The following is a 16,101-nucleotide window of genomic DNA, read 5'->3' as shown; positions in this document are numbered from 1 at the left end:
ATATATGAAATTAACAAAATGTTTTTAGCCAGCCCCCTACTTAAACCTTAGAGCTTTTATAAATAATATTGAGAAGTATATCCTTATATTCGTTATTTTACACATTCTTCAGTACATCTGTAGAATAAACTTCTATGTTTATATGTACATTTAAATATTGGGAGCCTAACTGTTGGTCTGTGTAAAGCTAGATTTTGAACATCTATTGTATGAATGACCAGTCTTTTTACAGAATTTAACTTGATTAACATGGTTTCTATCCTGCTTGCATTTGTGAAAAAGTGCAGATCAAATAGATCACATTCTATTTAAACATTTTCTCCTAAAATTAAGGCATTTTAGCCAAATTTTATTTCAGAGAAGTACAGTTTAATCATTAATTAAGCCTCTTCCACACTTTGACAGATACAGCACATCCTTTTTTTTTTTTCTTAACTTTTTTTTTTTTTTTTTTGAGACGGAATCTTCACTCTGCTGCCCAGACTAGAGTGCAGTGGTGCGATCTCAGCTCACTGCAAGTCCCGCCTCCTGGGTTCACGCCATTCTCCTGCCTCAGCCTCCCAAGTAGCTGGGACTACAGGCGCCTGCAAGCACGTCCGGCTAATTTTTTTTTTTTTTTGTATTTTTTGTATTTTTTTTTATTTTATTTTTTTTTTTGAGACGGAGTCTCGCTCTGTCGCCCAGGCTGGAGTGCAGTGGCGGGATCTCTGCTCACTGCAAGCTCCGCCTCCCGGGTTCACGCCATTCTCCTGCCTCAGCCTCCCAAGTAGCTGGGACTACAGGTGCCCGCCACTATGCCCGGCTAATTTTTTGTATTTTTAGTAGAGACAGGGTTTCACCGTTTTAGCCGGGATGGTCTCGATCTCCCGACCTCGTGATCCGCCCGCCTCGGCCTCCCAAAGTGCTGGGATTACAGGTGTGAGCCACCGCGCCCGGCCTTTTTCTTAATGTAGGTAAACTGGTGTCATGGGAGTTTGTTGAACAGATTATTTCATCCCACAGATATTAAGCCTACTATCCATTAGTTATTTTTCCTAATCTTTTCCCTCCTCCTACCCTCTACCCTCTGAAAGGCTCCAGTGTGTGCTGTTCCCCTCTACGTGTCCATGTGTTCTTATCATTTAGCTCCCACTTACAAGTGAGAACATGTGGTATTTTGTTTTCTGTACCTGTGTTAATTTGCTAAGGATAATGGCCTCCAGCTCCATCCATGTTCCTTCAAAGGACATGATCTTGTTCTTTTTTATGGCTGCATAGTATACAACGTTGTATGTATCACGTTTCCTTTATCCAGTCTACCACTGATGGGCATTTAGGTTGATTCCATGTCTTTGCTATTGTGAATAGTCCTGTAATGAACATAAGGCATGCATGTATCTTTATAATAGAATGATTTTTATTTTTTGAATGTATACCCAGTATTGGAATGGCTGGGTCAAATGGTATTTCTGTGTTCAGGTCTTTGAGGAGTCAACACACTTTCTTCCACAATGGTTGAACTAATTTACACTCCCACCAACAGTGTATAACATTCTTTTTTCTCTAGAACCTCGCCAGCATTTGTTATTTTTTGACTTTTTAATAATAGCCATTCTGGCCAGGTGCCAGGCGCTCATGCCTGTAATCCCAGCACTTTGGGAGGCCAAGGCGGGTGGATCACGAGGCCAGGAGTTTGAGACCAGCCTGGCCAACATGGTGAAACCCCATCTCTACTAAAGATACAAAAAATTAGCCGGGCGTGGTGGCACACAACTGTAATTCCAGTTACACGGGACGCTGAGGCAGGAGAATCACTTGAACCCAGGAGGTGGAGGCTACAGTGAGTCAAGATTGTGCCATCGCACTCCAGCCTGGGCAATAGGGCAAGACTCTGTCTCAAAAAAACAAAATGGAAAATAATAGCCATTCTGACTGGTGTGAGTTGGTATCTCATTGTGGTTTTTATGTGCACTTCTCTAATGATCAGTGATGTTGAGTTTTTTTTTTTCATATGATTGTTGGCTGCATGTATCTCTTTTGAAAAGGGTCTGTTTGTGTCCCTTGCCCACTTTTTAATGGGGTTGTTTTTTTCTTGTAAATTTGTTTAAGTTCCTTGTAGACTCTGGATATTAGACCTTTGTCAGATGCATAGTTTGCAAAAAATTTCTCCTATACTGTAGGTTGTCTGTTTATTGATAGTTTCTTTTGCTATGTAGAAGCTCTTTAGTTTAATTAGATCACATTTGTCAATTTTTGCTTATGTTGTAATTGCTTTTGGCATCTTCATCTTCATCATGAAATCTTTGCCTGTGCCTGTGTCCTGAATGGTATTGCCTAGGTTGTCTTCCAGGGCTTTTCTAGTTTTGGGTTTTACATTTAAGTCTTTAATCCATCTTGAGTTAATTTTTGTATATGGCGTAAGGAAGGGGTCCGGTTTCAATCTTCTGCATATGGCTAGCCAGTTATCCCAGCACCATTTATTGAATAGGGAATCCTTTCCCCATTGCTTGTTTTTGTCAGGTTTGTTGAAGATCAGATAGCTGTAGGTATGCAGTCTTATTTCTGGGTTCTCTATTCTGTTTCTTTTGTTTATGTGTCTCTTTTTGTAACAGTACCATGATGTTTTGGTTACTGTAGCCCTGTAGTATAGTTTTGAAGCAGCATTGTTGTCTGGGGTAATACCCGAGGTTCGTTGCCTCATGACAAAGAAATCAAGGACACAGATACAGGTAAAGTGAGGTTAAGAGAGGAGGTTTAAAAGGCCAAAGAAGGAGAAGAGAAGAGCTCTCTTTCCTACAGATAGAGAGATAGGTGTTTAAGTGGGTCTTTTGGCCCATAGTGGAGTTCTTGTTCTTTTTCATTAGGATTGCCTTGGCTGCTGGGGCTCTTTTTTGGTTCCATATGAATTTTAAAAGAGTTTTCTCTAGTTCTGTGAAGAATATCAATGGTGGTTTAATAGGAAAGCATTGAATCAGATTGGTTTGGGCAGTATGGCCATTATAACAATATTGATTCTTCCTATCCATGAGTACAGAATATTTTTCCATTTGTTTGTTTCATCTCTGACTTTCTTTGAGCAGTGGTTTGTAGTTCTCTTTGTAGAGGTCTTTCACCTCCCCGGTTACCTGTATTCCTAGGTATTTTATTCTTTTTGTGGCTATTGTGAATGAGAGTTTGTTCCTGATTTGGCTCTTGGTTTGACTATTGTTGGTGTGTAGGAATGCTAGTGATTTTTGCACATTGATTTTGTATTTTGAGACTTTGCTGAAGTTGTTTATCAGCTTAAGCTTTTGGGCTGAGACGATGGGGTTTTCTAGATATAGGATCATGTCATCTGCAAACAAGGATAGTTTGACTGACTCTCTTCGCATTATTTCTTTCTCTTGCCTGATTGCCATGGCCAGAACTTCCAATACTATGTTGAATAGGAGTGGTGAGACAGGGCATCTTTGCCTTGTGGCAGTTTTCAAGAAGAATGCTTCCAGCTTTTGCCCATTCAGTACAATGTTGGCTGTGGGTTTGTTGTAGATGGCTCTTATTATTCTGAGGTATGTTCCTTCAATACCTAGTTTATTGACAGTTTTTAACATGAATGGATGTTGAATTTTATCAAAACCCTTTTCTGCGTCTATTGAGATAATCATGTTGGTTTTGTTTTTAGTTCTTTTTATGTGATGAATCACATTTACTGATTTGCGTATGTTGAACCAACCTTGCATCCCAGGGATGAAGTATACTTGACCGTGATGGATAAGCTTCTTGATGTGCTGCTGGATTTGGTTTGTCAGTATTTTGTTGAGGATTTTTGTATCAATGTTTGTCAGGGATACTGGCCTGAAGTTTTCTTTTTTGTTTTATCTCTGCCAGGTTTTGGTATCAGGATGATGCTGGCCTCATAGAATGAGTTTGGGAGGAGTACCTCCCCATCAGTTTTGGGGAATAGTTTTAACAGGAATGGTACCAGCTTTTCTTTGTATCTCTGGTAGAATTCAGCTGTGAATCTGTCTGGTTTGGGGCTTTTCCTTGGTTGGTAGGGTATTTGTTACTGCTTCAATCTCAGAGTTCGTTATTGGTCTGTTCAGGGATTCAATTTCTTCCCAACTCAATCTTGGGAGGGTGTATGTGTCCAGGAATTTATCCATTTCTTCTAGATTTTCTAGTTTATGACAGCACAATCTTAATTCTGACCTATCAGTGTCCTATTAAAACTCAGGAACTGTAGGCAACCATGATGAGCATGGGAGCCATTCACTTTGCTGGATGAAGAATTTTCTGATACTTAAATATGAGGAATGTGCTGAGTATCTATTAGTGGAAGGTCTTTATTTTTTATTTGCTTATTCTTATTTATTTATTTTTAAGAGAAAAGGTTTCACTCTGTCACCCAGGCTAGAGTACAGTGATACTGTCATAGCTCACTATAGCCTCAATCTGTGGGGCTCGAGGATCCTCCTTCCTCAGCCTCCCAATTAGCTAGGACTATAGGCCCGTACTGCCATGCCCAGCTGTATTCTTTTTAAATTTCCTTTTTGTAAAGATGGGGCCTCCCTGCATTCCCCAGCTGCTCTTGAACTCCTGGGCTCAGCTGATTCTCTTGCCTCAGCCTCCCAAATTGCTGGAATTACAGGCATGAGCCACTGTACCTGGCTGCTGCTGCTTTTTTTTTCTTTAAATAGCAGTTTACAGATTTGTTTTGAAAGACAGTTTGCTAAAATATCAATTAATATCACTAATGAATAAGCACTACTCTTTTTTACTAATTATTCTTGTCAAGGGTGGTCTGAGCTGGGTGTAGTTATTGAGATTTGGAACATGTGTATTTAGGTTCCATAACATGGTCTTGAGAGGCCATGGAGTGGGAGCACCCACTGAGCACTTATCAATAATTACGTCTACACTGATATTAATAATAGCTAACATGTGTTCAGTCACTACTTGTCAAATTCCTGCAATTTTTTTGCCTGTTTTATGGATGAGGAAATTGGAGAAGTTGAGCCCACAGATAGTAAGTGGTAGAGCAAGGATTTGCTCCGAACCCACACCATGAAGTTACACATTGGCCTCCACAAGAATTCTTTGAGATCGATAATACTGTTTCCATTTTACCTTTGAGGAATTTGAGACTTAGAATTAAATGACTTCAGCTTAGGTCATTAAAGGTCACAGAGCTAACGAGAAACCATATGATGTGAAATCGAGATTCTTCAGTGTTGCTGCTATGTAGGCTTGTCCCACACATTTCAGGACATTTAGCTACCTTGGACCCACCCACTAAATGCCAGTAGGGACTCTGATGACTGGGCCGTCTAAAAATGCCCCCACATAGTTCTAATGCCTTCTCCTAGGCGTCATATTTACATTCTTAAATTCAAAGCTTGTCTTTTACCCTTATACTATATCACCTCTCATGGCAATTTTTTAATCAACACTAATCAAACTTGACTCTAGCTCATAATTTAGAATATTAGGAATAATTATAAATGCAAATCATTTTAATACAGAATCACACATAAGAGTAGCATTTCATCCAACTCCCTGTTTAGTAGATTAAAACTCACTTTCTCTAAGACCCAGAGATGACAAAGACCTTCTTAAAGTCAAAAAGCAAATTGATAGCTGACTGGACTTAAGTCATATCTCTGAACTTGAGACTAGGGCCATTTCTTCACATTACCAGTTTGCTTCAGGCAAATGTATTTGACTAAGCCGTTTTTATTTTTATTTTTTATTTTTATTTTTTGAGATGGAGTCTCATTCTCTCACCCAGGCTGGAGTGCAGTGGCACCATCTCAGCTCACTGCAACCTCCACCTCCTGGGTTCAAGCCATTCTCTTGCCTCAGCCTCCCAAGTAGGTGGGATTACAGGCACCTGCCACCACGCCCAGCTAATTTTTGTATTTTTAGTAGAGATGAGGTTTCATCATGTTGGCCAGGCTGGTCTTGAACTCCTGACCTCATGATCTACCCACCTTAGCCTCCCAAAGTGCTGGGATTACAGGCGTGAGCCACCGTGCCCAGCCACCATGTTTATTTTTTAATGAGTGATTTTGACCTTTCAAAGGGAAACGTTTGGAGGGTTGATGTAATTGAGTTGAAACAGCACACCATGGAACTGCAGAACAAGTTCGTGGCTATTTTGGAAAAGCTATTTCAAACATGGTCTTTCCCTTAAGCAGTTTTATACTGCTGACAGAACTGGATGCTTACATGAGACTTGTCACTTTCACCCTAGCAGGTGTTTGTGAATCAGGCTTCCCCCAAATTTAAGTAGGTTAAGAAGCAGGTCGAATAATATCACATATATTAATCCTGAAGGTTCCCATGGAGGGAAAGAATTTATGGTGAATGAAAAATGTTATCATTTGAAAGCATCCACATGTTTCGGATAATTTGTTGAGTGTCTCTGTCATGTGGAAGATGCAGTTGTAAGTTCTGTGGGTGAATTTGGTATATATTTTGCCTATTGCTTATGGTGCTGATGGTCTCCAAACGCTTTGTGTATTTTCAATGAAAGATAACTTAAAAGATTACTCCTTATGCCCACTTCAATAATTAAATGATTATAGTGTCCACTCTGTAGAATCAGGGCTAGAGGTTAGTATTGGCAAATACATCCTCTCTCTTTGTCTGACACTTCCAGTCTCATTTGTTTAATAGTATGCCTGTAGAATATGAAATTTTTTGGAACATATTTAATGAAGAAGTTTATTCATTATTCAGGGAAGATCACCAAATGATTATAGCTTTTTAAAAAGCATCTTTAATCTCATAGAGTTGCTTGGGCCTGAAATTTGGATCATAATCAGTGAGCCACGGAGCTTGAGGAAACTATGACCAATGCAGAAAGGTCTCCTGATGAATGATAGGAGAGCATTGGCAGGTGTTGGAAAAACCTCAATTATCCTGGTACAAATTGAGAGGTGTTGAGGGATTTGCATTTCTTACTGACTATGGGAAAAAGAAGTTAATTGAAGCTGTTGACAAAGATTTTCCATTAGTGATTCAGAAATCATAGAGGTTGTTTTGAAATTACCCAAGCATAGTAATGGGAAAATAATTTTTCTTTCTTTTTCCTCTTTATTCTTATATGGAGAATGAGAATGTTACTTGGGAAAAGTCTGGAATATTGACTCATTTTGTAGACACCTATACTGATGTTATGTTTCTTTGACTTTTATGAAAGAGAGACCACTGATTAAAAAGCCCGATATTAATTTCTTCAAAAGAATAAAACAGATTTAGGGTATATGCTGGTGTTGTTTATTCTGATTTATATGCATATCGTCTGTACCCATAGCTATGGCATATTACTGTAATCAGTGTTCTAATGATGACCTTGTCTCAAGAAGACTATGTGAAATTGGGTTCTGGAGGCTCTTGTTTTAAGAATCAGGAAATAGGCCGAGTGCAGTGGCTCACAACTGTAATCCCAGCCAGTTTGGGTGGCTGAGGTGGATGGATCATTTGAAGTCAGGAATTCGAGACCAGCCTGGCCAACAAGATGAAAACCCGTCTCTACCAAAAATACAAAAATTAGCTGGGCATGGTGGCGGGCGCTTATAATCCCAGCTACCTGGAAGGCTGAGGCAGGAGTGTCGCTAGAACCCAGGAGGCAGAGGTTGCAGTGAGCCAAGATCGCACCACTGTTTTCCAGCCTGGGCAATAGAGTGAGACTCAGTCTCAATAAATAAATAAATAAATAAATAAATAAATAAATAAATAAATAAAATAAAAACAAAATAAAAATCAGGAAATATCCTCAAAAACATGTTTAAGGAGATGAGAAAATTTTCAGAAAACACTGTAGTGAAAATACTTGTAAAATAGTATGGGTATTAGGCCTTCAATTGGATAAAACCCAATTATGTTTTCTAAAATTTGGCAGTGAAACCTGAGTAACTCTTCTATTATAAGGAAAAAACACCTCAGCTCTCCACAAAGCACTGAATTAGCCATCTCTCAAAAAATGGAAGTGAGGACAGGTACATAAATGTGGAAGAATATTTAATAGTTTAATGACCTAGAAGTACATTCATGTGTTCTGAAATGAAAAAGATTATGAGGTAGTATATATAGTTGTAAACTTATAAAATGAATGAATTTATAAGATAAGAAACATACAAAAGATATAAGGCATAAAAAACGTGTACAAAATATGCAAAAGTATTTAAAATAATATATAAAAATTATACAGAAAGTAAGCATTTATTTATTTAGTTTTTATTTTAAGTTCCATGGTACACGTGCAGGATGTGCATGTTTGTTACATAGGCAAACATGTGCCATGGTGGTTTGCTGCTCCAGCAACCCATCACCTAGGTATTAAGCCCAGCATGCATTAGCTATTTTCCATCTGCTCTCTCTCCCTCCACCCCCTTCCCCTGACAGACCCTGTGTGTGCTGTTCCCCTCCCTGTGTCCATGTGTTCTCATTGTTCAGCTCCCACTTATCAATGAGAGCATGCAGTGTTTGGTTTTCTGTTCCTGCATTAGTTTGCTGAGGATAATGGCTTCCAGCTCCAACCATGTCCCTCTCCCTCCTTCCACCCTCTACCCTTTGATAGGCCCTGGTGTCTGTTGTTCCCCACTATGCATCCACATGTTCTCATCATTTAGCTCCCAATTATAAGTGAGAACATGCGGTATTTGGGTTTCTGTTTCTACATTAGATGGCTAAGGATAATGGCCTCCAACTCCATCCATGTCCCTGCAAAGGACATGATCTCATTCCTTTCTATGACTGCATAGTATTACATAGTATATGTGTACCACATTTTCTTTATCCAGTCATCATTGATGGGCATTTAGGTTGATTCTGTGTCTTTACTATTGTGAATAGTGCTGCAATGAACATATGCATGCATGTATCTTTATAATAGAATGATTTATATTCCTTTGGGTATATATCCAGTAATGGGATTGTTGGTCAAATGGTATTTCTGGTTCTAGATCTTTGAGGAATCACCACATTGTCTTCCACAATGGTTGAATGAATTTACATTCCCATCAACAGTGTAAAAGCACTTCTATCTCTCTGTAGTCTGACCAGCATCTGTTGTTTCTTGACTTTTTGATAATTGCCATTCTGACTGGTGTGAGATGGCATCTAGTGGTTTTGATTTGCATCTCTCTAATGATCAGTGATGTTGAGCTTTTTTTCATGTTTGTTGGCTGCATAAATATCTTCTTTTGAGAAGTGTTTATTCATGTCCTTTGCCTACTTTTTAATGGGGTCATTTGTTTTTTCTTGTGAATTTGTTTAAGTTCCTTGTGGACTCTGGTTATTAGATCTTTGTCAGATGGATAGATTGCACAAATTCTCTCCCGTTCCGTAGGTTGTCTGTTTGCTCTGATGATACTTTCTTTTGCTGTGCAGGAGCTCTTTAGTTGAATTAGATTCCATTAGTCAATTTTTGCTTTTATTGCAATTGGTTTTGATGTTTTCATTATGAAATCTTTGCTTGAACCTATGTCCTGAATGGTGTTGCCTTCTTCTAGGGTTTTTATAGTTTTGGGTTTTACATTTATGTCTTTAATCCATCTTGAGTTAGTTTTTGTATTAAGTGTAAGGAAAGGATCTAGTTTCAATTTTCTATATATGGCTATCTCAGTTATCCCAGCATCATTTATTAAATAGGGAATCCTTTCCCCATTGCTTGTTTTTGTCAGGTTTGTCAAAAATGAGGTGGTTGTAGAGGTTTGCTCTTATTTCTAAGTACTCTATTCTGTTCCATTGGTCTATGTGCCTGTTTTTGAGTTTGAAGTTGGGCAGTGTGATGCCTCTAGCTTTGTTCTTTTGCTTGTTTTTTGTTTTTGAGACAGAGTCTTGCTCTGTTGCCCAGGCTGGAATGCAGTAGTGGGATCTTGGCTCATTGCAACCTTTGCCTCCTGGGCTCAAGTGATTCTCATGCCTCAGCCTACCAAGTAGTTGGGACTACAGGTGTGCACCACCCCACCTGGCTAATTTTTGTATTTTTAGTAGAGACAGGGTTTCACCACATTGGCCAGGCTGCTCTCGAACTCCTGGCCTCAAGCGATCCACCTGCCTTGGCCTCCCAAAGTGCTGGGATTATGGGTGTGAGCCACCGCACCCGGAAATGCTTTGTTCTTTTTGCTTAGGGTTGTCTTGGCTATATGGGCTCTTTTTTTGTTCTATATGAATTTTAAAATAGTTTTTCCTAATTCTGTGAAGAATGTCAATGGTAGTTTAATAGGAATAGCATCGAATCTGTAAATTACTTTGGGCAGTATGGCCATTTTAATGATATTAGTTCTTCCTATCCATGAGCATGGAATGATTTTCCATTTGTTTGTGTCCTCTCTGATTTCCTTGAGCAGTGGTTTGTAGTTCTCCTTGAAGAGGTCTTTCACTTCCCTTGTTAGCTGTATTCCTAGGTATTTTATTCTCTTTGTAGCAATTGTGAATAAGAGCTCATTCATGATTTGGCTCTCTGCTTGTCTGCTGTTGGTGTATAGGAATGCTAGCGACTTTTAGACATTGATTTTGTATCCTGAGATTTTGCTGAAGTTGCTTATCAGCTTAAGAAGCTTTTGGGCTGAGACGATGGGGTTTTCTTGATATAGGATCATGTCATCTGCAAACAAAGACAATTTGACTTCCTCTTTTTAAAATTTGAATACCCTTTATTTCTTTCTCTTGCCCTATTGCCCTGCCAGAACTTCCAATACTATGTTGAATACGAGTGGTGAGAGAGGGCATCCTTGTCTTGTGCTGGTTTTCAAGGAGAATGCTTCCAGCTTTTGCCCATTCAGTATAATGTTGGCTGTGGGTTTGTCATAGACAGCTTTTATTATTTTGAGGTATGTTCTTTTAATACCTAGTTTATTGAGAGTTTTTAACATGAAGGGATGTTGAATTTTGTTGAAGGCTTGTTCTGTGTCTATTGATATAATCATGTGGTTTTTGTCTTTAGTTTAGTTTATGTGATGAATTATCTTTATTGATTTGTATATGTTGAACCAGCCTTGCATTCCAGGGATGAAGCCAGCTCGATCATGGTGGGTAAGCTTTTGATGTGCTTCTGGATTCAGTTTGCCAGTATTTTGTTGGGGACTTTTGCATAGATGTTCATCAAGGATATTGGCCTGAAGGTTTCTTTTTTTGTATTTTCTCTGCCAGGTTTTGGTATCAAGATGATGCTGGCCTCATAAAATGAGTTAGGGAGGAGTTTCTCCTCTTTGATTGTTTGGAATAGTTTCAGAAGAAATACTACCAGCTCCTCTTTGTACCTCTGGTAGGATTCAGCTGTGAATCCGTCTGGTCCTGGGTTTGTTTGATTGCTAGGCTATTAATTATTGCCTCAATTTCAGAACTTGTTATTGGTCTATTAAGGGAGTCAATTTCTTTCTGGTTTAGTCTTGGGAGGGTGTATATGTCCAGGAATTTATCCATTTCTTCTAGATTTTCTAAATTTTTTTTGCATAGAGGTGTTTATGGTATTCTCTGATGGTTGTTTGTATTTCTTTGGGGTCAGTGGTGATATTCCCTTTATCATTTTTTATTTTGTCTAGTTGATTCTTCTCTTTTTCTTCTTTATTAGTCTAGCTAGTGGTGTATCTATTTTATTAATATTTTCAAAAAAAGCCAGCTCCTGTATTTGTTGATTTTTTGAAGGGTTTTTTTGCATCTCTATCTCCTTCAGTTCTGCTCTGATCTTGGTTATTTTTGTCTCCTGCTAGCTTTGGGGTTTGTTTGCTCTTTCTTCTCTAGTTCTTTTACTTATGATGTTAGCATGTCAATTTGGGATCTTTCTAGATTTTTGATGTGGTCATTTAATGCTATAAATTTCCCTCTTAACACTGCTTTAGCTGTGTCCCAGAGGTTCTGGTATGTTGTCTCTTTGTTCTCACTAGTTTCAAAGAACTTCTTGGTTTCTTCCTTGATTTCATTATTTACTCAGGAGTCATTCAGGAGCAGGTTGATCAATTTCCATATAGTTGTGTGGTTTTGAGTGAGTTTCTTAATCTTGAGTTCTAATTTGATTTTGCTGTGGTCTGAGAGACTGTTTGTTATGATTTCAGCTCTTTTTCATTTGCTGAGGAGTGTTTTACTTCTAATTATGTAATCAATTTTAGAGTAAGTTGCCATGTGGCACCGAGAAGAATGTATATTCTTTTGTTTTGGGGAGGAGAGTTCTATAGATATCTATCAGGTCCACTTGATTCAGAGCTGAGTTCAAGTCCTGAATATCTTTGTTAATTTTCTCTCTCAGTGATCTGTCTAATATTGACAGTGGAGTGTTAAAGTCACCCACTGTTATCATGAGGGAGTCTAAGTCTCTTTATAGGTCTTTAAGAACTTGTTTTATGAATCTGGCCAGGCACGCTGGCTCATGCTTGTAATCCCAGCACCTTGTGGGGCTGAGGTGGGTGGATCACTTGAGGTCAGGAGTTCAAGACCAGCCTGGACAACATGGTGAAACCCTGCCTCTACTAAAAATACAAAAATTAGCCAAGTATGGTGGTGCATGCCTCTAATCCCAGCCACTCAGGAGGCTGAGGCAGGAGAATCGCTTGAACCCAGGAGGCAGAGGTTGTAGTGAGCCGAGATCATGCCACTGCACTCCAGCCTGGGCGATAGAGCGAGACTGTGTCTCAAAAAACACAAAAAACAAAAAACCCCTCAAAACTTGTTTTTTTATGAATTCGGGTGCTCCTGTATTGGGTGCATATATATGTTTAGGATAATTAGCTCTTCTTGTGGAATTGAACCCTTTACCATTATGTAATGCCTTTCTTGTCTTGGTTGATCTTTGTTGGTTTGAAGCCTGTTTGTCAGAAACTAGGATTGCAACCCCTGCCTTTTTCTGCCTTCCATTTGCTTGGTAAATTTTCCTTCATCCCTTTATTTTGAGCCTATGTGTATCTTTGCACGTGAGATGTGTCTCTTGAATACAGTGCACAGATGGGTCATGACTCTTTATCCAGCTTGCCATTCTGTGTCTTTTAATTGGGGCATTTAGTCCATTTACATTTAAGGATAGTAGTGTTATGTGTGAATTTGATCCTGTCAAATGATCCTAGCCTCATGATGCTAGCTGGTTATTTTGCAGACTTGTTAATGTAGTTGCTTCATAGTGTCATTGGTTTGTGTACTTCAGTGTGATTTTGTAGTGACTGGTAATGCTTTTTCCTTTCTGTATTTCATGCTTCCTTCAGGAATTCTCGCAAGGCAGGCCTGGTGATGACAAATTCCCTCAGTGTTTCGAAAAGGATTTTATTTTCCTTTGCTTATGCCTGAAAAGGATTTTATTTTCCTTTGCTTATGAAGCTTAGTTTGGCCGTATATGAAATTCTGGGTTGGAAATTCTTTTCTTTAAGAATGTTGAATAATGGCCCCCAATCTCTTCTGGCTTGTAGGGTTTCCACTGAGAGTTCTGCTGTTAGTCTGATTGGCTTCCCTTTGTAGGTTACCTGGCCTTTCTCTCTGGCTTCCCTTAACATTTTTTCCTTCACTTTGACCTTGGAGAATCTGATGATTATGTGTCTTGGGGTTGATCTTCTCCTGGAACATCTTAGTAGTGTTCTCTGTATTTCCTGAGTTTGAATGTTGGCCTGTCTTGCTAGGTTGGGGGAGTTCTCCTGAATGATATCCTGAAGTATGTTTCCAACTTGGTTCCATTCTTTCCATCTCTTTTAGGTACCCCAATCAGTTATAGGTTTGGTCTTTTTACATAATCTTATAGTTCTCTAAGGTTTTGTTCATTCCTTTTTATTCTTCTCTAATCTTGTCTGCCTGTCTTATTTCAGCAAAATAGTCTTCAAGCTCTGACATTGTTTCTTCTGCTGGTCTATTCGGCTCTTGATACTTGTAGTTGTGCTATGAAGTTCTCATGTTGTGTTTTTCAGCTCCATCAGGTCATATATGTTCCTCTCTAAACTGATTATTCTGGTTAACAGCTCCTGTAATGTTTTATCATTGTTCTTAGCCTTTTTGCATTGGGTTAGAACATACTCTTTTAGCTCAGTGAAGTTTGTTATTACTCCCCTTCTGAAGCCTACTTCTGTTACTTCATCCATCTCAGCCTCAGCCCAGTTCTGTGCCCTTGCTGGAGAGTTGTTGTGATCATTTGGAAGAGAAGAGACACTCTGACTTTTTCAGTTTTCAGAGTTTTTGAGTTGATTCTTTCTCTATCTACCTTCAATCTTTGAGGCTGCTGACCTTTGGATAGGGTTTTGTGGGGTCTTTTTTGTTGATGTTGTTGTTGTTGCTTTCTGTTGGTTTGTTTTTAACAGTCAGGCCCTTCTTCTGTAGGCCTGCTATGGTTTGCTAGGGGTCCACTCCAGAATATTTGCCTCAGTCCCTCCCACACCTGGATGTGTTACTAGTGGAAGCTGCAGAATAGCAAAGATGGGTGCCTGGTTTTTCCTCTGGGAGCTCTGTCGCAGAAGGGCACTGACCTGATGCCAGCTGGAACACTCCTGTATAAGGTGTGTGATGACCCCTGTTGAGGCGTCTCACCCCATCAGGAGGCACAAGATGAGGGATCCTCTTAATGAAGCACTCTGGCTGCCTCTTGGCGAAGTGGGTGTGCTGGGCTGTGAGGAATCCCCTTGGTCCAGACTGCTCGGACTCCATCCAGACTGCCAACAATCTTTAGAGCCAGCAGGCAGGAAAGATTGAGTCTGCTGAGCTGCAGAGACTGTGGCCACCCCTCCCCATGGGGGCTCCTTCCCAGGGAGATCAGAGTTTTGTTTGTAAATCCCTGGCTGGGGTTGCTGAAATTCCCACAGGGATGCCCTGCCCAGTAAGAAGGGATGGATCTGGGTCTCACCTAAAGAAGCAGTCTGGCCATGATCTGCCACAGCCACTGTGCGGTGCTGTGGGGAATTCCTCTTGGTCCAAACTGCCCAGTCTCTTTAGCACTGGCAGGGGAAAACAGCTGACTAGGGCCTCAGTGATGGTGGCTGCCCCCGCCCCCCGACAGGAACTCAGTCATCTTAGGTAGCCTTCAGCCTGCTGCCACTGGCCACAAACCAAGAGGCCACTGAAAGTCTGCACAGCTCTGTGTTTGGGACTCAAGGCCTTGGTGATATGGGCTCACGAGGGTATCTCCAGATCCACGGTTGCACAGATCTATGGAAAGAGCATGGTTTCCTGGGCAGGGTAGCACAATCACTTAATGCCTCCCCTGGCTGGGGTTGGGAGTTCCCCTTGCCCTGTGCAGCTCCTGGGTGTGCCATGGCTCCACCCTGCTTTTCCTCACTCTCCATGGTACACCAACTACCTAGTCAGTCCCAGTGAGAGAATCTGGATACCTCAGTTGAAGGTGCAGGATTCATTCGCCGTTTTCATTCTGCTTGGTGGGAGCTGCTGTCCACAGCTGCTTCTAAGCAACCAAGTAAGCATTTATTTAGCACTAACTGCCAGGATATTCTTGGTGCTTAAGATATACATCAGTGACTGCTTAATACTCTCGTTTTCTTTAAGACCTAGCTCAATGTCATGTGGACCATGTGGACCAAAACCAGAAAGCTTTTGCTGAACTACCAGTGTGGGTGTGGGTGAGGTACTCTCCTGTGAGGTATCCTCTCATGTAGTACTCACTGCATGAGTTATGTTCCTGTATACTATAGACGTTCATCCTTCTTTCTTTGTTTTAGGTTGAAAATGTCATAAATAAGTCTGTTTGATGAGAAAGAAGAACTAATAGAATGTAAAAGGCTGGAGGGATATAAAAGAAAGATAATTAATGAAATGAGTTTTACAAAAATATTCCTAATTAGAGCCCTTTAAATGGCATACTCCTCATGGGCCCATAAATTATTATATGATTTTAGAAAAGAAATAGATTCCTTCTAAGATGTACTTCAGTTGTAGAAATCAAGAAATACTTGTGGTGTTGCTCTTTTATCTATGAGAAATATCCATACATCCATTAAAGGATGTATCCATATAATGATGTATATATAAAAAATATATATACATCAGTGAATCAAAGATTTTCCCTTGGTGGTGTGCTAAAAGAGACCAGTAAGAAATGTTTCAAAATGTAAGTGCTTTTGACCAAGGGCAAATTACAAATTATTTGTAATTTTTGTTGCCTGTGTGTGTCTTTATTTTCTAAATATTTGTCAATGAAATCTATTACTTTTGCAAACA

General features: G+C 39.8%; 1 protein-coding gene across 9 annotated transcripts in view; it reads left to right on the top strand.

Annotated features, from left to right (window-relative positions):
• SGMS1 (sphingomyelin synthase 1) overlaps nt 1-16,101 on the top strand; it is a 319,585-nt gene that overhangs the window by 129,492 nt on the left and 173,992 nt on the right. The window lies entirely within an intron of this gene.

Source organism: Homo sapiens, chromosome 10, assembly GCF_000001405.40.
Source record: "Homo sapiens chromosome 10, GRCh38.p14 Primary Assembly".
Taxonomy (NCBI): Eukaryota; Metazoa; Chordata; class Mammalia; order Primates; family Hominidae; genus Homo; species Homo sapiens.
This window is presented reverse-complemented; position numbering and strand designations above follow the sequence as displayed.